The following is a 25,897-nucleotide window of genomic DNA, read 5'->3' on the forward strand; positions in this document are numbered from 1 at the left end:
GGAGTCAAATTTGCAAAAACCCTTTACGACAACCCCGTGAAGTAAGTGTTGTTATACCCATTTTGTAGATGGGTAAGCTAACGACTTGCTCAAGGTCATAGTAGCACAGAGCCAGGAATCAAACCCACCAACCCCACCCTGTCCTGAATCGAGGCTCTGAACCATGGACCTAGAGGGGAATGCAGATTCCTTTTGTTTGGAGAATGTTTTAAATATTTTCAGTAGGTACCTGCTGTGTTGAAATCCTTGGGTACAGACCTTTCTGGGAAGAGCAGAGTGCTCTATAACTAAAGCTTCTCTGCAGAGTGTCTAAGAGTAGCCTGCATGGGCTAGACAACCTCAATGCCTGTCCATGACCTGGACTCCAGCTTACAGCTGGAAGAATTGCCATTTGTGTCCTCTCCTTTTCTCTGCCCACCAATTTTTTTTCATATATTCCTTAGCGTCAGGTGTTGGGACCTCCTCTGGGAACTAATCCATGTTCTGCTTTTAAATTAATTCCACATCTTGTCTGAGCTTACTGCCTCCTCCATTATTCAAGGAATTTAGCCTGCCAGTTCCCTATAATGGTATACCCCGTCTCTTTCCTCTTTGCTCTATCTTCCAATTCTCATAGGTGGAGCTGCGGTAGACATCCAGAAGTTGTGGGATTTTTTTTTTTTAGATCTCCTTCTCAGATGATTAGGGACCCACACTTGCTTGCAAAGGTGAATCCTGCAGACCTAGCTGGTTATAAATCCATCAGCTGTAGGAGAAGTTCTAGGCCTCAACCTGCTAACTGTTTCTGATGGTGTCAGAGTACATTGTTTCTCCTACCCCAGGACAGGACCTGAGGAGCTACATCTTATCCCTTTCTAACTTCTACTGGAAGGTGAATGACAGGCAAAGCCTTGGTAGAATGTCCCAGACAGGCAAAAGGCAGTTTGGAACCTGTTGTGTGCTATAGAATCAAAAGTGATATGAACTGGTCTGCCACAAGATTTTTGAGATACTGGAAATAAGGTTTTTGAAAACATTTATGGCAATTAGAGTAAGTTTATGTTGCTGAATCTAATAAATAAAAAATAGGCCTGGCACAGTGGCATGCACCTGTGGTCTCAGCTATTTGTTACCAAAAAAAACCCAAAAAAACCAAACTTTTAAAAATGGAGCTTATATTTTATATGTGTATTTCCCTCCTTCCTTCCTTCCTTCCTTCCTTCCTTCCCTCTTCCTTCCTTCCTTCCTTCCCTCCTCCTTCCCTCCCTCCCTCCCTTCCTTCCTTTCCTTCCTTCTTTCTTTCCTTCCTCCCTCCCTTCCTTCCTTCCTTCCTTCCTTCCTTCCTTCCTTCCTTCCTTCCTTCCTCGGAGTCTTGCTCTGTCGCCCAGGCTGGAGTGCAATGGTGTGATTTTGGCTCACTGCAACCTCCACCTCCCAGGTTTAAGAGATTCTCCTGTCTCAGCCTCCCAAGTAGCTAGGATTACAGGTGCCCGCCACTATGTCCAGCTAATTTTTGTATCTTTAGTAGAAGCGGGGTTTCACCATGATGGCCAGGCTGGTCTCGAACTCCTGACCTCAGGTGATCCACCTGCCTCAGCCTCCCAAAGTGCTGGGATTACAGGCGTGAGCCACCACGCCTGGCCTTATTTAACTTTTCTAGTGATTCATTTTTATTCTATTTTATAAAATCATCATTCTGTGACAAAATAGAAATTTAAAAAGCAAAACCAACCGATCCCTCTTCACAGATGGTTTGAGAAGTGTCGGACTACAGTGGAAAGAACAGGTTTTTGAAGTGAATAGGGCTGGGTTGCTCAACCTTTCTGAGCCTCACCTTCCTCATCTGTACCTATCTTCCCCAGAGCTAAGAGAAATGGTGCATGGAGACAAAAACATATCCAGGCATATGTGCTCCGCCAGAGGTGAAGACAGAGGATTGTGGGGACACAGAGAAGGCCCTTCAGCTGGAGGAGTGATGAGAGATTGACTGGGGAGACGTCCTGGTGAAGTCTGATGCCTGAACTATGCTGGGAAAGGTGGGGCTTCGGCAGCAAGACCAGACACACTGGTGGGGGCAGCTTCCTCCTTTGCAGACCAGTTCCAGGCTCCAGCCTAGGAGCAGGAACTGTAGGGATGCTTAGAAGCACAGTCCCTGGTGAGAGCAGGCAGGCTGGCTGCATTCCTGTGGTATTTGAGGATTGATCTTGTCAGATTAGCAGCTTTGCTTTTTTTGGTTCAGGTACAAGATCCCCACGTGGGGAGTTCTTGCTGCTTGTGAAGAGCAAAAGCTGGTGAAAGCACAGAACATGATCCTGGCCCTCCTCCTGAGCTGTGTGAGGCTCCCAGCCAGGAGCAAGCAGCCCTGTGAGTTCCTCAGTGAGAGGGAGGGCCCAGGTCTGAGCTCCACCCACACAAGTCCCAGCGATGAGGCAGCAGCTCAGCAGAGAGCAAGATGCTGGCACCTTCAGGACTGTGTCCTGCTTTCCCTACTCTGTCTGCACCTGGGGAGACAGGTCACTCTCTGACTGGTCTCCCCAAATAAATAGCCAGAGCTAGAGGGGAGAAGGAGGGCTGAAGCCTTGCCTCCCCACTGTGGAGGCAGGACATGAGTCTATGCCTGCCTGCCATGATGAGGGCCCTTGGCTCTGCCTTCTGCCCTGATGCAGGCAAAGAGTCCAGATCCAGGCAAATGAAGTGTCAGAGGGAAGCCACGGCCCTACTCAGGGAGCCTGAGTTCAGTGAATCTCTCAGGAGAGAGGTCTGGGCTGGAAGAAAACAAATTGCACGTAGGTCCATACACAGCCCCCAGAGTGTGGATGAGATTGTCCAGGGTGATGTGGCGAGTATTGGGCCACGTGGCCTCTGTTCTCAGGAGTTCCTGGTCAGGGAAACACACACCTGACAGTTGGCAGCATCACGAAAAAAGGCCTGTTGACAGCTGGCCCTGTGACATCTTTGTGGCCCTTGTGTTGGGATAGACCCATCCTCTCTCCCTCGGTTTCAAGGGCTTAGTATGCGGAAGTTTCCTACACTGGACAACTTCCGAACATAGTTTGAAAACAGAAGATTGGGGCTGGGCACGGTGGCGACCAGCCTGACCGACATGGAGAAACCCCATCTCTACCAAAAATACAAAATTAGCCTGGTGTGGTGGTGCATGCCTGTAATCCCAGCTACTCAGGAGGCTGAGGCAGGAGAATCGCTTGAACCTGGGAGGCGAAGGTTGCAGTGAGCCGAGATCACGCCATTGCACTCCAGCCTGGGCGACAGAGTGAGACTCCATCTCAAAAAAAAAAGAAAAAAAACCAGATGATTGGAAAAACAAAATGACACCTTTGGCTTTGCTGCTCAGCCCCTTCAGATAGTGTGTCTGGGCCACAGGCCAATTGCCAGTTGCGGAACTTGCTCTAAGAAGCAAATGCCCAAATGGAGCAAGTCCTCCAAATGGGGCAAGGCATGTGCTTGAGGCCTGAGCTCAGAAACCAGCTCTGATGAGGGCTGGCTCTGTACCTGCTGTCTCCACTGGCCTTGCTCCCATGTGTCCAAGGTGACTATGATCAGTGAGGTTCTGGCCAGGTTAAGGGCTGTCTCCACCACATTCCCCGTCTCCATCACCCATCCTCATGTGTACCTCAAGACCAGCAAGAGGGATTAAGGGCAGGACTCTGCCAGCTATATGTTCACCCTTAGGCCGCTTCTGACCATCTCAAACCCCCTGCCTCTGCTCCTGTGCCCTTCTCTTCCTGCCCTGTGGCTGTTGCACACACAGGGGTCCCTGATACCCAAGTCCCTTCCCCTGAAGGGCTTCTTTCTGCCCCTCCCTACCCCTGAGGGCGTATGCAAGGAGAATGACCACTGGTTGGATCAGGCCCCATGAGCCCATGTGGGCCTCCTGATGGAAAGAATCCTTCCTCCAAAGCAATGACCTTTTTAAACATGGTCAGCAGCTGCCTCTGGTTTAGCCAGTTCTGCCTGTAGCCTAGTCATTTTGGGGGCAAAATGAAGAAGAGTGCAAGAGGCAGTAGGGTAGAGCACAGCAAACCGTGACCCACACTCAAGGCTGTGGGGAAAGATAGCTCATCCAGGAGGCCTGGGCTCCTGACGCAGCCCTGTCTCCAGTGGGCCTGCTCCAGGAAAGTTGCTAACTCTCATAGAGATGCATTCCTTTGCTACCGCTCAGATTATTGAGAGGAAACACAGGGTTCAGAGACCCCAGCGTGGCCAAGGAAAGCTGTTGGCAAAGGCACAGCTGCATGTAGAGTGAGGTTCAGGAGCAAAGGGTGAGCCTTGCTCTATCCATCTCTGTTCCAGTCCTCATCAGGTACTCCACAGAGGAGCATTTGCTAAAGGAAGAAAGGTAGGACTGGCCATTTCTGCCATGCATCTGGATCCCAAGGGCCATCCTCCATGAGCAGCAGGTCTCTTCCTGTCTAGCCATGAGCCCCTTTCCCTAACCCCTGGAGTGCTAGATGCAGAAAGGGAGGGCAGTGGAGGGATGTAGGCTATGTGGGTTACAGTCACCATGTTCTCCCTAGCCAGAGGTTGATCATTTTTTCCAGCCTGTAACTGGGCCTAATTTCAGACCTTTTCTGAGGGTAGGTTCAGGAAGTAGAAAGCTTTTGAGCTGAGGCAAAAGTGGTCTTACTGTACTTAGACTGTCATCTGTTGGCACTGCGGTGAGGCTGGTCGGAGGACGAGGGGTACATCTTTACCACCTGGCCTCACCGCTGTTTCACCGATCCCTGTGGCTTGACCTTGTGTGCCTGTGCCAGGTTCACAGCATCTCCTTCATGCTTTCTCAGCAAAGATGGAATACAGCTGGGAGCTCCTCTGCCTCCGTCTGGGCAAGTGAAGAGAGCTTAGGTTTTGAAATCAGGCAAACCTGGGTTAGAATCCCAACTTTGCTACTTTGCTAGCTGTATAACCTTGGACAAGCCCTTAGTCATGTTAAACATCAGCCTCCTTATCTGCAAAATGCGAATAACAGCCCCCATCTCATGGGCATTTATGGGGATAACACTAAATAATGTCCATGACATGTGTGTCCTGGTGCCTGGCATGCAGTGAGTGCCTCGTCTGGGGTGGTAAGTGTGGTTCTGTCTTTATGCTCTGACTGCCTCAACTCTCATGGAGACCTTCCAGTAATATGTCTTGGTGTGGAGCTGTCAGGACTTGTATAGACTGCATACAAACCCAGGTGACTGGCATTTGTTGATACAGAAATACTTCCACATATTGGGAAATGTGGCTTTTGGCAACTCCAGCTACACAGGATGCAACCGATGACTCATAACTTATGCTGATGCTTCAATTAATAAATTAAATTAATAATTTAAGCTGATGCTTCCTGGTGCCGTAACCCCTACATGCCAATGCCTTACTAACCCATAGTCTTTTATGCCTTTGTGCTGTGCCTGCTAGTCCCCCAACCTGGAGTGCTTCTCCATATTCTTTGCCTTAAGAACTACTGCTTTGGCCGGGCACAGTGGCTCACGCCTGTAATCCCGGCACTTTGGGAGGCCAGGGCAGGCGGATCACCTGAAGTCAGGAGTTCGAGACCAGCCTGGTCAACATGGAGAAACCCCGTCTCTACTAAAAATACAAAATTAGCCGGGCGTGTTGGCACATGCATGTAATCCCAGCTACTTGGGAGGCTGAGGCAGGAGAATCGCTTGAACTCGGGAGGCGGAGGTTGCGGTGAGCCAAGATCACGCCATTGTACTCCTGCCTGGGCAACAAGAGCGAAAATCTGTCTTAAAAAAAAAAAAAAAAAAGAGAGACAACTACTGCTTTTACTTCAGTGAGTAACTTGAACGTTGTCTGGCATCAAGCACAGCAGTCTCTGCTGAGAGAACTGCTTGTGGCAGGCCTCTCCCCTCCAAAGGGGCCTGGACAAGGCAGGCACTCAGCTTGGCCAGCTGTCCACATGCATGTGCTGTCTGGAGTGTCTGTCCTCACATTCTCCACCTTTAAAACTCCAGCTCAGATGTCACCTCCTCTGTGAAGCTTTTCCTGCCCTGGAGCTCCCCCAGCTCTGTGTGCACCTCTATCTGTAACAGTTCTGTGTATACCACATTATAATTCCCTCCTGAGACCTTGTCTAATTTTTACCTCTATCTTACCCTCCATCACCACTTGGTGACTGACTAAACTGGGGACAGCTCCCATTTCTCTTGCCTTTATCCTATCACCACACTCCTTGCAGCTGGCTTGGGCTTGGGGAGGGAAATGGAAGCGGCGGGTCCTACTGACCTAGTTGGGTGTTCTGCCATGTCCAGGCCCACTGTGCAGCTGGGCCCAGCACTCTGGGCTTCCTTCCCAGGACCAACACCAGCAGCATCAACAGTGGGCAGAGCCAGGCGCAGTGGCTCACACTTGTAATCCCAACACTTTGGGAGGCTGAGGCGGGAGGATCACTTGAGCCCAGGAGTTTGAAACCAGCCTGGGAAACATAGCGAGACTCTGTCTCTACCAAAAAAAAAAAAAAAAAAAAATTTAATTAGCATAATGGTGTGCACTTGTAGCCCTAGCTATTCAGGAGGCTGAGGCAGGAGGATCGCTTGAGCCAGGGAGGTTGAGGCTACAATGAGCTGTGATCATGCTACTGCACTCCAGCCTGGGTGACCGTGTGAGACCCAGTTTCAAAAAAACAGTGGACAGAGTCTAAAGTGGCTCTAAGGACATATTAAATTCTGGATTATTCTTCCTTCAAAACATTGAGTTTGACGGTCTCCCTCAGTTGACTCAAATAACTGGATATTGCATATCTGTCTGTTCACTCATGTAATACATTTTTATCAAGTGCTGGGCACTGTGTGGGCACTGGGGAAATGGTTTTAAAAAACGCAGGCATGGTCCCAGCTCACTGTCTGGGGGAAGTAAATTGAAGTTGTAGCTCAGGGTTTCAGAGACATTCAAGTCAAGTTGAGAGTGAGAGATTTGGTTGGGTACTCCCTCACAGCTGCATTTCAGTGCCTGGCTCTGACCTGGCCACAGCACACACCATTGCTAAGTGTGGGGCTGTGGGGAGGCTGAAGCCCTGCACCCACTCCAGGCTGAAGGCAGTCACACAGTAGCTGTGCGGGCTGTGGCAAGAATGAGACTATGACAGCCCCGGAGCCTCAGAAAAACTGGCTTGTGAATGACTTTGCATGGACCAGGGTTATAGACAAACAGAAATGACATCTGAAAAGACTCTTCTGAGCAAGTCCCCTGGCACATTCACACAAGTCAAGTTCAAACAAAAGGCTGTTGATGACATTTCTTCGCACAAGTCACGAAAAGCTTCAGACCAAGGGTGAGCAGTTTCTGCTTCTGCAATTCGGAGATCATAAAGAATAAAGAATGGGTTGGGGAAAGCATAGCTCCATCACTAAGCCAGCTTCCGCCCCCTAAAATGGGGCCTGTCTGCTCAGTATGATGTTCTTAATCCTGGGAGACCCCACAGAGGCCCCAGTCTGGCAGAGAGTGTCCTCAGCGTGTGGGAGAAGCCTCCTCCTCCTCTTCCATCTCTGTGGAGCAGCGACCAGGCCTCCAGAGAAGAGCATGCTTGCATCAGTACCTCATAGATCCCAATCTGGACCTGCCCATGGTGACTGCTGCCCCACTTCCAAGCTCCAGAGACCCCAAGTATTCTGCCCCTCCCTGAACCCCTAAGCATTCACTGTCTACCAAGCCTTGTGCAGAGGTCTAGGGGAGAGTGACAGATAAGAAACTTGAGTGGGGGCCGGGCGTGGTGGCTCATGCCTGTAATCCCAGCACTTTGGGAGCTTGAGGCAGGCAGATCACCTGAGGTCAGGAGTTCAAGACCAGCCTGGCCAACATGGCAAAACCCCGTCTCTACTAAAAATACAGAAATCAGCCGGGCATGGTGGCGCATGCCTGTAATCCCAGCTACTTGAGAGGCTGAGGCAGAGAATCATTTTGACCTGGGAGACGGAGGTTGCAGTGAGCTGAGCTGGCGCCATTGCACTCCAGCCTGGGCAACAAGAGCAAAACTCTGTCTCAGGGAAAAAAAACAAAGAAAGAAACTGAGTGGGCAGTGTGGTTACTGTAGCAACAGAGCAAGCACAAGGAGCTGTGTGTGCTCTGATAAGGGCCCCTAACCAAACTGCAGGCAGGAGAGGCTTCCTAGAGATGGGGACACCTGTGCTGCCTATTGGAGGACAGTTAGAAACTGGCCAGGTAGAGAATCTAGGGAAGGGCAGGAATCACATGGAGGGAAGGAGACACACTTGGAAGTAATTTGGCTGTTGGAGTACAAGTCCTTGGTAAGAGGCCTTGAATGTCATGCTGAGAAGTTTGAACTTTATTATGAGGTCAGCCAAGGTTTCAAAGCAGGGAGGGAAGGACAGCATCAGATTTGTGCTTTAGAAAGGTCATTGCCTGAAATGGGGAGAAAGGGTTACAGGAGGTGGGACTGAGGAAGGTAATGCTTGGGAAGAGGTGATAAGGACAAGTTCATGTCATATTAGGGGAGGAGAAATGACAACATTAGGTGGCTGGTAGAGGGATGAGTAAAAATGGATTCCTAGTTTCTGTTTCAGGCAGCTGGCAAGGTAGTGGCACCATTTCCTAACATAGGAAACACAGGGAGAAGAGCACGCTTATGGGGCAGCTGTTGAGTTCATCTGGGGAGAACGCTTAGCTTCAAATTCCTGCAGAACATCCCTGTGAAGCACCCAGGTCCTTTAAGGGATTTTTTTTTCCGATTTCTTCCTAGTGTAAACAGAGTATCTATGTACAACATTTTTTTTTTTTTTGAGACAGAGTCTTGCTCTGTCGCCCAGGCTGGAGTGCAGTGGCGCGATCTCGGCTCACTGCAAGCTCCGCCTCCCGGGTTCACGCCATTTTCCTGCCTCAGCCTCCTGAGTAGCTGGGACTACAGGCACCCACCACCACGCCCGGCTATTTTTTTTTGTATTTTTAATAGAGACGGGGTTTCACCATGTTAGCCAGGATGGTTTCGATCTCCTGACCTCATGATCCTCCCGCCTCGGCCTCCCAAAGTGCTGGGATTACAGGCGTGAGCCACCATGCCCGGTCATAACATTCTTATTTATAAGTCTTTATGCACCTTCCTCTCTGTCTCTGACATAGTGAAAGAAATTTTTTCATTACATCACATGAATTTGTAGTATCTATACCTTTTAGTCACCAAACTTCTCAACTTGAAACCTGTTTACTTAAACTTCCTTCCCTCCCCTTCCTCTATTATTAATTTTATAAGCATTTCCATATATTTGGCACCATGCTGGGTACTAAGGATGAAAAGTAATACATAATCCTTACCCCAGAACTTGTCTAGAGTGAGTCAGACATGAAAACAAAATTAGAGAATGCTGACATGATGGTAAATGAAAGTCTAGGGTGCCACAAATACACAGAAAGGAGACACCTAATCAAAGTGAGGTGTCAGGAGGGGCTTTTTTCCTAAGGTAGATCACTGGGCTTTACTCCTCTTCTGCCATTATTGTTTACAGGACCTCTTGACCTTCATTCTGATCATCTACTTCTAGCATTAAAGGGCCAAAGAAGACCTTTTCATTGGTTCGCTGGTGATTGCTGACTCACCATCATGAGGTTGAAAAGTAGTCTTTCTTTTTTGTTTTAGTTTTGTTTTTGGCACGGATTGGTGCCGTAAGTGTCAGTGGGTGGGATACATTATGTCAGTAGCTCCTTAAGATACGTGGTCTGTGGACCTGAAGTATTCATGGCCCCTCAAGGCCACAGGCAACCAGAGCCAAGCAGCCGGGCCTTTTCCAGGGCTCCTGACCTCCTCTGGAATTATCACTGTCTGCCCCACACTCCCATATATTTTCAGCACTGCCTGTTCTCAAAGACACCCAGGTAAGGACATGTCATGGCCCCTTTCAGCAGCCTGGGAAAATGCCTTGGAAGTTTCTTTTTCTTCCCTACTGTAAGCCTGCAGGACAGGGAGGATCTGTAACAGAGAATACCTGGGAGAAGCCATCTTTTGGGGGAAAGTGGTCAGAGAAGGATTTTTGAAGGAGGTGATTTTTTTTTCAAGGTGTGGTAGCTCACACCTGTAATCCCTGCACTATAAGGCTGAGGCAGGCCGATCACTTGAGCCCTGTAGTTTGAGGCCAGCCTGGGCAACATGCTGAAACCCCATCTCTGCTAAAAATAGAAACAAAAAAATTTAGCCACATGTGGTGGTGTGCACCCATAGTCCCAGCTACTCGAGAGGCTGAGGTGGGAGGATCCCCTAAGCCCAAGAAGTTGAGGCTGCAGTGAGCCATGATTGTGCCACTGCACTCCAGCCTGGATGACAGAGTGAGACCCTGTCTCAAGGTAAAAAAAAAAAAAAGATTAAGGAATTAGGCAGTTGAAAAATGACAGGGTAGGTCTTCTAGACAGAGGGAATACATAAACTGAGAACATGATGCACATAAGGACATTCAGATTACTGCACGTGGTTTGGTATGTTTGGCACATAGTGTTACATCCTAGATGCTGGAAGACAGGCTAGAAGTAATCTAGAGCAAGATCATGGGAGACCTCACAAGTCACTCCAAAAGGACTCTAGATTATATCCTTAAAGATATGGGAAATTAGGCCAGGTGCAGTGGCTCATGCCTGTAATCCCAGCACTTTGGGAGGCCGTGGTGGGTGGATCATGAGGTCAGGAGTTCAAGACCAGCCTGGCCAAGATGGTGAAACCCCGTCTCTACTAAAAATACAAAAATTAGCCAGGCATAGTGGCGCGTGTCTGTAATCGCAGCTACTTGGGACGCTTATGCAGGAGAGTCGCTTCAACCCGGGAGGCAGAGGTTGCAATGAGCCCAGATCACGCCACTGCACTCCAGCCTGGGTGACAGAGCGAGACTCCGTCTCAAAATAAATAAAGCCATCAGATCTCGTGAGACTCATTCACTATGATGAGAATAGCGCAGGAAAGACCCACCCCTATAATTCAATCACCTCCCATCAGGTTCCTCCCACGACACGTAGGAATTGTGGGAGTTACAATTCAAGATGAAACTTGGGTGGGGACACAGCCAAACCATATCAGTAGGAAAATTGGAGGTGCCATTGGTTGAGGTAGAGAACCCAAGAAGAAGATCATTTCTTTCTTATATTTGATTTCTGACTTTTGGGAGGAGGAAAGGGCAGAGATCATGAATTTGATTGTGTGCATAATGAGTTTGAGATGCCTCTGGGACACTTAAGGAAAGATGTAGATAGTCATTTGTATATGTGGGTCTGGGGTTCCCAGGGAGAGGTCAGAGTTAAAGTGGGAGTTATCAGCACATAGATGAAGTTTTGGCAGTGGTGAAGTTGTGTGGGGAAGGTGTGTTAACTGGGTCCCAAATTGGCAGCTTGTAAACAAATCTACCTGTAGACATGCTTTATGGCACAGTGTTTTAAAATAATGTGAATACTTTTAGACAGTGTGTAATTCTAGCTTGCTCTAACCCTGCCCCTTCTTGTTGTCTTATGTCTGGCCCAGTTGACATATTTACCGTACCTTCTTGGCTCTTGTAGGCATTTGAGTTGGTAATTTTTTAAGGAAGAAGAAAACAGAATGACCTAACTCTGAGGAATACCAATATATAAGGGTTGAATAGGATGAAGGAGAATAGGAAAAAATGGCTGGAAAGATTAGAGGAAATCAGAAGAGAATAGAATTTCTCTCCAAAATTATGGGAGGCTATATAGGCAACATACATGTATAATAAAGTATAAAATGTGGATTCCACTTCATCCAACAATTCCACTTCTTAATATTGTACATACAAAAGTAATCATATCTGTGTATGCATTATTTTAATATGCTGTTGCAACATGTTTATGATAATAGCAAAAAACTGGAAACACCCTAAGTGCCTCTGAGCCAAGCATGATTCATGTAGTATTTCCCTATGATGAAATAGTATGTGGTCGTGAAAAATGTCAGACTGTATTTACTGGCATGCTCCCACAGTTTATTGTAAATTTGTTAAAAAGCAGGTTATGGGACACTATATATAAGGTAATTCCATTTATGTTAAATGTCTGTTTATGGAAGGAAAAGTCTGGAAGCCTTCACACACAAATCACAAGAACTTCCCAATAGCTAAATCTAGTAGACCTTTCTCTGGCCTCTGTTTCTTTGACCTGTCTGTGGCTTTTGACACAGTTTAACCTTTCTTGGCTTTCTGCTGCTTGTCTTTTTTCCCTAGCTTTAGTCCCATAGGCTGGCACTCAGGACTGAAAAATGGCAAAGTCATTCCTGGGAGAACCCTTCAAAACTAGCAGTTTGTTTAAACCCTGGGCATACGCAAAGCAGGGCACCTACTGGGCAGTTCTTCCTGGAAAGGAGCAGTTAGGAACAGTATCTTCCTGACCCTTACCCCCTTGAGTCTACATATCTCTTCTGGGATAAAACCCTTCCCAGGGCTCTGGGTACAAGTTTCCTCTCCTTGCCTACCTCCCCCACCCTCTAGCAAAGTTGCCTGGCTAGCCCCTTTCTCCCACGCCTTCTGTTCAATCAAGGGGTTATTTTTAACTGTGTTGTGTATACCATGCTTAAATCCTGGCAAAACACCAGAGCTTTGGAAGAGACACCCGAGATGGAAATAGTCTCCCACAACCCCTGGCCCCTTTCCAGAGCTTTTCCTTTTAAAGAGAGAAAACAACTAATCCAAACTGTAGACAGCCCAATGAAGAAAGTCCCTAGATGCTAGCACTGAGCAGCTGAACCCACAGCCTTGGCCATGACATTAGACTGGAGGCTGGATCTGCTGCCTCTTTGGGCCTATCTTCAGCCCAGGGTAAGTCCAAGGAGAAGATGGTTCTTGCCACTTTCCTGGGCTTGGTGGTTCTAGAACCCTGTATCGTGGAATCATGGAGATTACCTAGTCCATTCCCCACTTCCAATAGCTGGAAGTCCTTGACCTGCAGAAACAGCCCATTCATTTCAAGATACTCATCAGTAATTGGAGAGGTTTAACTATGAAAAGCCAAAATCTGCCTTTCTGCAGCTTCCCCCTGTGGTCTTAGTTCTGCCTGCCAGAGCCACGTAGGACGAGTCTAATCCCTTTTCTCCATCAGTTGTTCAGAGATTTGAAGCTGGTGATGTCTCTTGCCAGACATCTCTGCCCGTATAGGGTATCATAAAGGGCCCCTCCCTGTCACAGTGGTTTTCTTCTCTTGTCAGTTCCATCTTACGACTTTTCCCCTTTTGCCTTTAGGGGACACCCAAAATAGAGCTCATGCTTGCTCCAGGTGGCTTAACAGGGAGCATAGAAGGAGAAGCATCTCCCCATTTTTGATGCTCCTCATAATGCCTCACACCCAAAAGATGGTATTTTCTTCAATGGTCATGTCCCACTGACCATAAGCCTATTCTTGACCAAATGCTCTTGCCAAGCTCACTCCCTTCCCACTCAGCACGTATGATGGAATGTGTGGGTCCAAACCAAGCGTGGCAAGGTAGCTGTCATTCTGGAGTATTTTGGATCCTCTTTGTTCTCCAATATAAACTGTTCGTTTCCTTTCTCTTTATCTTCCATAGATTTGAGGATTAAGCCATTCTGTTCTTGTCTAAGCAGTGCACATAAAAACAGCGACTGAGATAAGCCTAACGCAGAAACTTGCCCCCAACGCTACAGGCAGTTAGCAGGGCTGTTCACCAGCTTCTGTCTCTCAGACCACCCTCCCTGTAGCCAAATCCACCTGGAAGGGCAGTTGCCTTATGCTTCCCTAGAACTTGTTATGGTCCGCATGTGGTATCTGAGAGCTCCAGGCAAGGACTCATGCCCTAAAGAAGAGCCACAAAGTCTAGAAGGAGCATTTACCCCAGAGTCAGAAATCAGAGGCTCAAACATGGCTCACCACCTTCTCTCTTTGGACAAGTCACTCAAACTCTAAACCTCAGTGTCTTCATCTGTAAATTAGGGGGAATGCCTGCCTACTTACTTCAAATGAATTTTGTGAGGCTAAAATGATATTGTATAATGAAAAACAGTTAAGAGCGAGGTGGTGATAATTATTTCATAAACATTTATTGAAACCCTGCCAATATGTAAGCCCTGTAAGTGACATAAGTAGGAATCCCATGAGCCCTGTTGAATTTTGATCCAGCAGGAGGTCTGCTTAGGCCGCCAGGCCGTCACAATCACAGGCCATGCTGGGAGCAGGGAAGCCCAGGTCTGGGGAGGGGAACCTGGGACAGCGCAGAGCACAGGCTTCCCAGAAGGGGCTGGAGTCAGGCTGAGAACAGACCACCTTCACTGGACTGGTCTGGTGTCAGGACACATGTTGTACATAAAAGGCCTGAAACCCAAGGGAGGCAAGGCAGGAGTGAGACCTCAGGGGTTGGAACTGGAGATGGAGAAGCTCTTGGAGAGCTGTGTCTCTGGAGGGTGGGGGTGGGAGCTGGTTGACATGAGGCTGAATCTCAGGCCAGGACCTGTGGTTTGTGCATGTGAACTGTTCCCGGGAGAGCCTGTGATGGGAAGACGATAGGCTTGAAGCTAGGGGGAGACATGGCCATGGAGTGAAGTGGGTGTCTGCAGAGAGGCAAAGTGGAATGTTTGCAAGGGCCACTGTGGAAAGGAGAAGAGGCTGGTACTAGGGAACCCCAAAACTGTTGAGCATGGAGAAGGCCAAGTGGGCCAGGAGTCTGTGGCAGCCACCTGTCTGCTTGTGTAGGTTTTCCCCAACAGGCTTAGTCCTCCCAGTACCGAGGTAAGGATTCTGAGAAGTAACCCCTGTGCCAGAAAGCTTGGCCCAGATTGATTGTGCCTCCTAGGATTCATGTGTAGGAAACACCCTCTGTTCCTGAAGTGAGGAGAAAGGTGCTGGGGCTTGGGGCAGTGACAGGACTCAGGCCATTCCAGAAGGGAGCAGCCATGGCCCGAATGAGCAGCTGGCCACAGATAATAGTTCCCAGGACTCTCCTACATGTGGGACAACAGCAGGCTCCAGTGGATGGAGCACTCCAGCCTCTTTGGAATGAGGTGGCCAAAGTACTTGGCAGGATGTGCACTGTAACAACGAGGGGACCAGAAGAACCCTGGTAGAGAACTCAGGAGAAGGAGGCTAGGAATACAGCCAGGCAATGTGCTACATGAACCTTTGAGACTGAGACATGAGCCCATGGGTGAGGACTGTTGGACCTGTGTTAATGGAGTGTGAGGGAGAGGACGGGGTGTGAGGGAGAAGATGGCATGTGAAGAAGAGGATGGGGTGTGAGGGAGAGGCTGGGGTGTGAGGGAGAGGATGGGGTGTGAGGGAGAGGATGGGGTGTGAGGGAGAGGATGGGGTGTGTGGGAGAGGCTGGGGTATGGGAGAGGATGGGGTGTGAGGGAGAGGATGGGGTGTGAGGGAGAAGATGGGATGTGAGGGAGAAGATGGGGTGTGAGGGAGAAGATGGGATGTGAGGGAGAAGATGGGGTGTGAGGGAGAGGATGGGGTGTGAGGGAGAGGCTGGGGTGTGAGGGAGAGGAGGGATGTGGGAAAGGATGGGGTGGGAGGGAGAGGATGAGGTGTGAGGGAGAAGATGGGATGTGTGGGAGAAGATGGGGTGTGAGGGAGAGGCTGGGGTGTGAGGGAGAGGAGGGGTGTGGGAGAGGATGGGGTGGGAGGGAGAGGAGGGCGTGTGTGAGGGTAGGAAGGGGTTTGTGGGAGGGAGGAGGGGGTATGTGGGGGAGGGGGAGCGGTACGTCGGTGGGGGGTGTGTGTGGGAGATGACTGGGATGTGAGAAAGAGGGTGGGGTCTGAGTGAGAGGCTGGGGGTGAGGTAGAGGAGGGGGTGAGGGTAGGAGGGGACATGGGAGGAGGGGGTCTGTGGGGGAGGGGAGAAGGTGTGAGGGGGAGGAGGGGGTGTGTGGGGGAGATGATTGGGGTGTGAGAGAGGATGGGGACTAACAAAGAGGATGGTATATGAGGGAGAGGCTGGGGTGTGAGGGACAGGAGGGGGTGTATTGAGAGGGGTGTGGGGGGCCGGGAGTAGGAGGAGAGGGAGGAGAGGTGTGGGGGGAAGGGGGGAGGGGCTGTGGGGGGGACGGAGGAGAGGGTGTGTTGGGGAGAGGTGAGAGGGGGAGTGTTGGGGAAGGGTGTGAGCGAGACGGGGTGTGAGGGGGGAGGACTGTCTCAGGGCAGAGAGAGTCCTGCCAGGGCTGCTGGTGAGGCACCTGCTGCTCTTCACCCTGCCTCTGACCGGGCACTCCCTGAGGGAGAGGGAGGGCATGGCAGATACCAAAACTGGGAGGGGAGAGAGAGAGGTGAAGGAAACTGACAGTCATTGAGCAACATGGTGTGCCAAGAACTTCACATGCCTTATCTCACTTCATCTTCACAATAATCCACGAGGTAGTAGGTATTATTAGCCCCTTTTTACAGTCATTCAACAAATACTTAGTGAGTACACTGCTCTTGTACTGGAGGTAAAGCAGTGAGCAAAACTGACCAACAGTCTTGCCTTCATGGGGCTCATATTCTAGTGGGAAGCAGGCAAAGAAACGATATAGAAATAAGGTGTACAGTATTTTAGATGGTGGGAAATACTAGAGAAAAATAAAGCAGGAATGGAAGTTAGAGAGGGGCTGCCATTTGAGATTGGGAAAGACCTTCATGGGAAGGTGACATTTAAGTAAAAACCTAAAGGAAATCAGGGAAGGCCATGCTGATATCTTGGGGAAGAGCCTTCCAGGCAGAGGAAACAGCCAGTGCAAAAGCTCTGAGGTGGGATCCAAATGCAGGAAAGATGCCTGTGTTAAAGAAGTGGGAAATATGAGAGATGAAGTAAGAAAGAGAAATCTGAATCATGGGAGTGTTGGAGGTCACTCTAGGAATGGAGGATTTGGAGCAGAGGAGTGACTTCAGTTTTAAAGGATCCTTCTAGCTGCCTTGATGAGAATAGACTGTTGCAAGGCAGTCCGATTGGGAGGCTATTGTGACCTACAGGAGAGATGATTGTGACCTGGACCACGGTGGAAGCAGTGGAGGTGGTAAGAAAGCGTCAAGTTCAGGGTATATTCTGAAGGGAGAGCTAACAGGTTTGCTGCCAGCACAGGTGTGAGTATGAGAGAAAGAGAGTAATTTAGGCCAACTAAAAGTGTGTAGCCTGAGAAACTGGAAGAATGAAGATGCCATTTACCAAGATGGAGAAATGACTGCAAGAAGAGCAGGTTTTAGGAGCATTATGAACTCAAGTTTAAACATGCAGAGTTTGAGATGCCTCTTAGACATCCAAGTGTAGCTATCAAGAAGGCAGGGGAAGGGCCAGGTGTGGTGGTTCACACCTGTAATCCCAGCACTTTGGGAGGCTAAGGTGGGCAGATCACCTGAGGCCAGGGGTTTGAGACCATCCTGGCTAACATGGCAGAACTCCATCTCCACTAAAAATACAAAAATTAGCTGGGTGTGGTGGTGCGTGCCTGTAATCACAGCTACTCAGGAGGCTGAGGCAGAAGAATCTCTTGAACCCGGGAGGCAGAGGTTGCATGTAACGTGAACCAAGATCGCACCACTGTACTCCAGCCTGGACGACAGAGTAAGATTCTGTCTCAAAATAAATAAATAAATAAATAAAATAAAAATACAAAAAGAAGGCAGGGGAATATAGCAGTGTGTGGGGTTCAGGGAAGAGGTCCAGACTATGAAAATGGATGAGATCACCAAATAAGTGAATATGGATGGAGGAGAGAAGCTGGGACTGAGCCCAGAGAATGGCCCACACTTGGTGTGGGACATTGAGGGAGCAACTGCAGAAAGGAATGAGAAAGAGGAGTGCCCATTGCAACATTAGGAAATCCAGGAAAATGTGATATTCTGGAAACCAAAGAAAGTATTACAAAAGGAGTAATTAACTGTGTAATATGTTGCTGGTAGGCAGGATGATTGTATAAGTTACTATACAAACTAGGGCACTTTTGAGAGTGAAAATGGACAAGATTAATTACTCCAGGATAAGACACATAAACCAACATTGTCCCAGGCAAATCACAATGTATGGTTACTCTGTTGATAGGTTAAGTAAAGAATTGACCATTGGATTTAGCAGCATGAAAGTAATACGTGACCTTAAAGGATCATTGGTATGGATTCAAGAGAAATGGGAGGAGAGAGATTGGAGACAGGCAAATGTAGATAACTCTTTGAAGGAGTGTTTCTGTAAAGAGATGGAGATAAAATGAATAGGTGGTCACTATATGGGTGATAGTTGTACTGTTCTTTTAACTTTTCTGTATGAATGTTTTTCATAATGTAAAGTTAGAAGAGTGCAAATTTTAAAACCTTAAAAAAGAAGAGAGAAGGGGTTTAATATGGATAAACAACGTATTTGTTTGCCTATGGGGATAATCCAGAAATGAGATGATGTAAGAGTGAAGACTTCCTGGAGCAGTGTCCTTTAGTAAATGAAAAAGATAAGGTCTAGGGCACAAAAGTTGGCCTTAGTTACAAATATGGGCAGTTCAAACATAAAGTAGAGAATATAGGCACAAATGCACGCAAGTAGTGATACGCAGCTTGTAAACATTCTGTTCTGTTTGTTTCACATATTTCAGTACCATGGTAAACAAGGTTATCTATGGGAACAAGAATGAGGGAGGTGTTGGAATTGTAGAGAGAAAAGAGAAAGTATGAGTAGTCATCCAGGAGAATGGAAGAATGACTGAGCTGATAACATATATGATTGCCAGGAAGCATAAGGGCCTCACTGGTATTTTGAGTGAGACCAGCCAGCAACCAGCATGGTTGTTCTCCAGCCAGACATATTCAGCTGTGTAGGTACATCCCCAGAGTAGGTAGGAATTTCGATTTAATCAAAGCTGTGTTTCCCCCAAATGAGAAAGGAACAAAGAAGCTGAGGGTGAATGCAAAGAAGTGATTATAATGATTGATTTGGAATTTAAGCTGGATGAGAATTGCAGTAAGAATATAAGGAAGTAAAGGACAGTGAAAAGACGGTCAAACCAATGGCTTGATGATTTCAGTGTGTTGAGGATTGTACGAGTTTAGCTATGACAGCAGGTGAGCTATAGATACATGGAGGCAGTCAGGGAGTGAGCTTGAGACTGACATTAGAGAGGGCTTTAGTTATTAGCAGCGACCTAGTTTAACATATAATTTAGGAGTAAATAGCTGAGATAGGAAAGAGATTAAGATCACTGGAGGAGGGGAGGCCAAGGCAGGCCTGCCTTGGAGTTTACCACTTTCTATGTTTGGAAGTGATATTGTTTGGCTTTGTCCACACCCATATTTCATCTTGAATTGTAATCCCCATAAACCCCACGTGTCATGGGAGGAACCTGGTGGGAAGTGATTGGATCATGGGGGGTTTCCCCCATGCTGTTCTCATGATAGTGAATGGTTTTATAAGCATCTGGCATTTCCCCTGCTTGTACTCACTCTCTCCTGCCACCTTGTGAAGAAGGTGCCTGCTCCTGTTTCACCTTCCGCCATGATTGTGTTTCCTGAGGCCTCCCCAGCCATGCAGAACTGTGAGTTGATTAAACCTCTTTCCTTTATAAATGACCCAGTCTTGGGTATTTCTTTATAGCAGCGTGAGAACAGACTAATACATGAAGAAAATTCATCTCTCCTGTTTCCTGCTTTTTGATAAAAGAATACACAAAAAATACTGCACCTGATGATAATTGCTTTAGAATTTCTCTTCTTCTTCTTCTTCTTCTTCTTCTTCTTCTTCTTCTTCTTCTTCTTCTTCTTATTATTATTATTATTATTATTATTATTATTTTTGAGACAGGGTCTCACTCTGTCATCTAGGCTGGAGTACAGTAGTGTGATCTTGGTTCACTGCAGCCTCGACATTCCAGGCTCAAGTGATGCTCCCCACTCAGCTTCCCAAGTCGTTGGGATTACCTTGCCACCATGGCAGGATAATTTTTTAAATTTTTTGTAGAGACAGGGTTTCGCCATGTTGCTCAGGCTGATCTCAAACTCCTGGGCTCAAGCAATCCGCCCGCCTCGGCCTCCTAAAGTACTGGGATTACAGGCATGAGCCACTGCGCCCAGCTTAGAATTTCTCTTCACTTTATTTTTGACTGAGCCTATAGTTGAACAGGGAGATATCTGTCAAGGAAGGGGGTACTAGACTTGCCAAGCACAGGGATCATAAATGATTTGTGGCCCTAGAACATCAAGACTGGAAGAAAAGCAGCTCAAGTCATAGAGCAGACCCTGAGGGGAGAGAGCCAGTCAAGCATCGGGATTGAGGCTCTTAGCTGTCAGGTATAAAAGATTCAGTCCATAGAGGCCATCGTAAGGTACTGTGGCAGGAAAGGCTAGAGATTTGGGCCTGAGTCAGTAATGTGGAACTGCTGAAGATCTTCCAATGAAGGGACAAGATAGGCTGGGACTTGCTTATCTCCATAACTTTACCAGGTAATGGCAGTACTATGGCCTGGAAAGGTGTCATGTGTCTAGAATGACCTACAGCAAGTCTCTGGTCCTCCTTCCTGGTGGTTGGCTGGATGGCCATGGGGTGCTCATTGCATGTGGATGGACGAATGTGAAAGAGGAATGCTGCAGCCCAGTAGTTATGGTTGTGACAGGTCCCTATCCAGTGGGCAGGGCCCATTGTTGTAGCTATTCATTCATTCATTCATTACCTATAATATGCTAGGTGCTGTTCTAGGTACTAGGCATGTGATGTTAAAGACAAGGCATGGTGATAAAACTGTCACCTCAGCTCGCCCAGGAGGCGAGCAGAGGTGAAAAATGGCAGAAATAGTAGGAATACCAGCCTCTGCGTTTGTATGGGGGCTGGAATTCTTATTGTGGGACAGTTCTCCCTATGCATCTCGACAATAGTCTGTGACAGGTTTCTATCACTAGCTTGACCCATCCCATTTGATCAGGTGTTCAGAGAGAGAGGATTCTGCCCCTACAGCCTCACCCAAGGTCTCCAAAGTCAGGAACAATGTTTGAGCCCCTGGACTGAAGAAGGCAGCTATAGTATTTTCCTGTAGGAACAGAGTCCCCAGCTAGGACTAAGGGGGACCTGCATGGGAAATTCCAGGAGCAGTCTGCATTCATGCATTGCCCAGTCTGGGGCGATGATGATGATTGTGATGTCATCTAGCCACGTGGGTGCAGGGTCTTCTGACTTCCCTGGTCAGCAGAGTTGGCTCACCCTTCTCACTTCCCTGCAGAGAAACACACAGAGGCCACATTCAGGACCCCAGAGATAGCAAACAAGCAGATAGGTCTCCCCTTAGTCTGTGACTTGGATGCTCTTCATTGAAGAAAAGACAGATGGAATAGGTTTAGGGGAAGATAATGGGCTCCTTTTTTGATGTGTTGAGCCTAGGTGCCAGTAGGAGATCTTGGACAAGATACTCCAGGTGCAGTTGGATATATAAGTCTTGAGCTCCGGATACAGGTCTAAGTTTGAGATGGAGATTCAGCAGCCCCCAGTTAGAAATATGTGTCTGGATATCTGGAACTTGAACCCTCCTGTAAACAGTCGCATTTTCCAGCCTTTTCTTTATAAAACCTGCCTGGGACTGTAAGCAATGATTGGATGCAGAGCAGATAGTGGTCAGCAATGACTGCCCTTGTGCCCCTTCCCTGAAGGTAGAGGGTCTCATCTCACAGAACAGCATCTGCTCATTCTCTGTCATGTTGTCTCACTCCTTAGCAGAGGAAAAAAGATGGCTGAAACCTTCCCTTCCAGGAATCCCATTTCTAGGGGTTCAGAAAGTAATGTATCTGTATTAATTTCCTGTGGCTGCCCTAACAGATGATTCCCTCACAGTTCTGGTGGACAGAAGTTCAAAGTCAGTATTCCTGGACTGAAATCAAGGTGTTAGCAGGGCTGGGCTCCCTCCAGATGCTCTAGGTCATATCCGTCTCTCGCCTCTTCTGCCTCTGGCGACTGCTAGCATCTCTTGTCTCGTGGCCGCATCTCTCCAGTCTTGACCTGTGGTCACATTGCCTTTTCGTCTGTGTGTGGTCAAATCTCTCTCCACCTCTCTCCTCTAAGGATTCACAATGGTGTTAGGGCTCACCTAGATAATCCAGGATTATATCCTCATCTCAAAATCTTACTTTAGGAAGTGTACATCCTACCAGAAAAACACAAGCAATAAACAACTAAGAAGTAAAATATTTAGTAAATTACCACAAGATAAATGCCATGGGAAGAAAGAAAATATGGCAAGGTGACAGGAGCAAGTTGCATTATTAAATAGGATGGTGAGGGTTGGCCTCAAGGGAAATGAGAGATTTGAGTAAAGACTGGAAGGAGGCGAGGAATGAGCCAAATGTGTGTCTGAGGAAGAACATTCCAGGCAGAGGAAACAGCTCTAGTCAAGGCCCTAAGGCAGCAAGGAGTGTGGCTGGGGGACTGTGAACAGAGGGAGAGTAGTAGGAGATGAGACCAGAGAGGAAGTTGGGGTGAGGGAGATCATAGATGGCCTTATAGGCTGTTGTAAGGATGTCAGCCTTTACTCTGAGATAGGAAGACATTGCCCATGTGGAAATATTGATCTTTGATAGAAGAATGGAATTTTGCTCAGTTTTATCAAGAGGGAAGAGCAGACACGGTAGTTTTGAATATTTGGTGGAAGGCAGATCTCTGATCTCACTTACCAAATATTTATTCAGCACCTTTTATGCTAGGCACAATTCTAAGTACTGGGGGGCATGACAGTGAACAGAATGGGCAGCTCCTGTTCACATGGAGACCCTCCAGATAATTACACCCTCCAGATAATAACAAACAAGTGCACATGGGAGACAGGAAGCAATGCACAAAGAGTGATACGTGCTTACAGAGAAAACAAGAGAAGATGACATGTTAGAGAATGACTGCGGCAGGAAACCCACTTTAGACAGAAGAGTCAGAGAAGACGTCCCTGAGGAGGTGACATTTCAACAGAAATCTGAATGAAAACATAGAACCAGCCTTGGAAAGATGCAGAGCCGTTGTGGAAAGGTCCAGACTCAGAAAAAGGCTTGTATTTAAGGACTGGACAGAAGGCCAGTATGCTGTAACAGGGTGAGGAAGGAGGAGGATCTGGGGTGAGGTGAGACGTGAGCATTGGGCCCTTTAACCTGTGGTTTGGCTTTTTTTTGGAGACAGTGAGAAGGTTCGAACCTTCATGGCATGGTTGGCATGGTATGGTTGATGATTTATCATCCTGGCCTCCTCGAGAGAATGGACTCTGAGAGAAAGACAAGAGCAGAAGCTGCACATTGACCATCATAGTGGTCCAGAAATGATTATTTGGACTAGGGCCGTAGCAGTGGAGAGAGGTAAGTGGGTGAATTTAGAATATGTTTAGTGATTGTATTAACAGGACTTGCTGATGAATTGGATGAGAGGCAGCCAAGAAAAAGAGATGAGTCAAGAATGACTCCAAGGGATGCCATCCAGTTGGCAAGAGAGAGATTTGTTTGTAAAATAGGTGTTGCTCTTTGTGAGGATCTGGGAATATGGGACTAAAAGAGAAAAAAGAATGACTCCTAGGTTTTGGCTTGATCAACTACATTAGCTTGGCCCCTGCCTTCCTCACCATCAAAGCCAGAGCCGCTGCTCCTGCACCGTGACCCTGCGTATCACTGGTATTCTCACCACTGCTTTGAATCCCATCATACTCCTGTCCTTCCATCAAACCTGCTACAGCAGGGCCCAAACGTGGTTGGATCCATCTGACTTTTCCTGCTCCTACTTCTGGGCTGCTTGGCACCACTGCCTTGGCGACACACAAACACAGCCTTGGCGCTACTGTGGCTTCATGCTCTCCAGCCTCTGTGCACAGCTTAGCAATCCTTGTCCCTGTCCCAGGGGAGCATGAATTGGTCTGGTTGGCCCTGGAAAATCCACATGGTGGAGGCTGTCACCCCAAGCTGCTCCTGTCTCTTGCAGCCCACAGGCATTTACGGAGCACCTGCTGTGTACTTGGCTGAGAGCTAGGGGTGCCACAAAGTCTGCTGGGGAACTGGGCAATAACATTAGCATGTGTTAAGTGCTAAAAGGTCAGTGTGACTTACCATGGTGACTGTCCCAAATCTTTCCTATTCATAAGTCCCTACAGTCTACACCCTCACACTACAACCCCAAATCTTCCCAAGGAAAAGAGTCGATGTGGTGAGCATTTTCTCAGGTTCTCCATACCTCTAAGCTCACCTGTCAGAGTAGCCATCTTCACATCCTCCTCCCTTTCCACGGAAAAGATATCCTGTCTTCTGTCTTCCTCCCCTCATACTCTGGATCTATCCCCTTCCTCTCCTCCCGGGCTTCATTCCACTGTTACGCTGGCTGTCACCTACCCCCTCCCTCTCTCCGCTTGTCTCCTTTCCATCTGAATACAAACATCTCAGTTCTTCACCATCCCACTTCATCTCCAGCCTCCATTCCACTTCTGTCCTCTCCTTCACTACCAAGTCTCTTTAGAAATTGTCTGATCTCTGTCTTGAACACTTGCTCACTTCTTTCCCTCCTCAACCCCTGCAGTTGGTTCTGTCCTCTCCATTCCCCAATAGTGTGTTCCCTAAGGGGCCAGTGACTTTCATGTATTACCAGAAGCAATGCGGTTAATACGAACGAGGATATAAATAGTGCCCATCCTGAGGTCACTGTGAGATTAAATACGAAAATGGAGAGAGCACTTAGAACAGTGCCAGGAATGCAGTAAGAACTCAGTTGTCATTGCTATTATTACTGTTGTTATTATTGTGACGTTGATCATGTATTTCATAACTGCCTCTCTGTTTGGCTGCCTCACCCATTATCCACCAAGGCAGGGACTCTGAGTTCTTTTTTTTTTTTCCTTTGAGACGGAGTCTCACTCTGTCACCCAGACTGGAGTGCAATGGCGCGATCTCAGCTCACTGCAACCTCCTCCTCCCGGGTTCAAGTGATTCTCCTACCTCAGCCTCCCAAGTAGCTGGGATTACAGACGCCCATCACTGTGCCTGGCTAATTTTTGTATTTTCAGTAGAGACAGGGTTTCACCATGTTGGCCAGGCTGGTCTTGAACTCCCGACCTCAGGTGATCCACCCGCCTCAGCCTCCCAAAGTGTTGGGATTACAGGCGTGAGCCACCACGCCCAGCCTCTGAGCTTTTTATATTCCCAATGACTAGCACAGAGCCTGAGATAAGCTGGGGCTTAGCACATATTAGAGACACAGACGGTAGATGCTGGTCACCAACAGGACCGTGCCTTTGGGCTTTGGGTTATGTGGCCTCTGCAGACAATCTGGCCATCAACCAGGCTCTTCCTGAGGCAGGGGCGCCTGCCTGACATGGCAGCTTCTCAGCACACAGTTTCCTCCCCTACGTTCCCCACTTCCCTCCCTCCTTCCTCTACACAAGGCACAGGCTGTCAGCAGAGTCAGTGGGAGCCTGTCAGCAGGAGCCCAGGCACTGCCCCCTTGAGGGCCTCTGGCTCAGCCTCTCCTCTCCTCCTTCAGCACAGGCCTCCCTGCCTGTCACACATGTCATGCATGTGGCTCCAGCTTGTCTGGACACGGATGTGGCCACAGTTCCTAGGCAGGCGGGGTGGGGGCAGTAGCTGGCAGTATTTCAGAATGGGGGGTGGGGGTGTCTGTGAACATTGGAAACATCACTGGAAGCCTGGTGCTTTGGAACAGGGAGATCAAAGTGTCCATGAGGATCACACAGAGGCGGTCCCCAGACTGCCACAGGTGAGCAGGAATTGGCCTGGATTAGCCCTGGAAGATCCACATGGTGGAGGCTGTCACCCCAAGCTGCTCCTGTCTCTTGCAGCTCACAGGCATTTGCTGAGCACCTGCTATGTGCTTGGCTGCAAGCCGGGGGGTGCTACACAGCCTGCGGGGGAACTGGGCAATAACATTAGCATGTGCTAAGAGGTCACTGTGCACAAAGAACACTGATGACCCAGAGGAGGGTTTGGTCAGCCCTGTGTGGCTCAGGGAAGACCTCAGAGAGGTAGAGATGCTGCAGTCCAGTCT

General features: G+C 48.3%; 1 protein-coding gene across 65 annotated transcripts in view, besides 3 other annotated features; it reads left to right on the top strand.

Annotated features, from left to right (window-relative positions):
* The window catches only part of ST3GAL3 (ST3 beta-galactoside alpha-2,3-sialyltransferase 3), a 223,624-nt gene that overhangs the window by 148,758 nt on the left and 48,969 nt on the right, over window positions 1-25,897 (top strand). For 2 of the 65 annotated variants that reach the window (NR_073021.3, NM_001350621.2), the window contains exon 6: window positions 1,842-2,015. The exons of 60 other annotated variants lie outside the window; for them this stretch is intronic. Coding sequence is in view for 1 of the 5 variants with exons in the window: in NM_001350621.2 (NP_001337550.1) it covers window positions 1,993-2,015 (23 nt within the window). In the remaining 4 variants the exon portion in view is untranslated. Of the gene's footprint in view, window positions 1-1,841; window positions 2,016-23,041; window positions 23,215-23,253; window positions 23,938-25,897 lie in introns of those variants that run through there. 3 more of the 65 variants (NR_073018.3, XM_047428261.1, XM_011541988.3) reach the window with 3 other exon arrangements.
* Window positions 1,827-2,445: an enhancer, noted in NCBI's record as "H3K27ac-H3K4me1 hESC enhancer chr1:44323792-44324410 (GRCh37/hg19 assembly coordinates)". NCBI's record gives its function as "activates a minimal SCP1, AML or CMV promoter by ChIP-STARR-seq in primed H9 embryonic stem cells {active_cell/tissue: H9 hESC(primed)}" and the evidence as "EXISTENCE:reporter gene assay evidence [ECO:0000049][PMID:30033119]".
* Window positions 9,490-9,559: an enhancer, noted in NCBI's record as "active region_925". NCBI's record gives its function as "activates an Ori minimal core promoter by ATAC-STARR-seq in GM12878 lymphoblastoid cells {active_cell/tissue: GM12878}" and the evidence as "EXISTENCE:reporter gene assay evidence [ECO:0000049][PMID:35858748]".
* Window positions 14,666-15,166: an enhancer, noted in NCBI's record as "H3K27ac hESC enhancer chr1:44336631-44337131 (GRCh37/hg19 assembly coordinates)". NCBI's record gives its function as "activates a minimal SCP1, AML or CMV promoter by ChIP-STARR-seq in primed H9 embryonic stem cells {active_cell/tissue: H9 hESC(primed)}" and the evidence as "EXISTENCE:reporter gene assay evidence [ECO:0000049][PMID:30033119]".

Source organism: Homo sapiens, chromosome 1, assembly GCF_000001405.40.
Source record: "Homo sapiens chromosome 1, GRCh38.p14 Primary Assembly".
Taxonomy (NCBI): domain Eukaryota; kingdom Metazoa; phylum Chordata; class Mammalia; order Primates; family Hominidae; genus Homo; species Homo sapiens.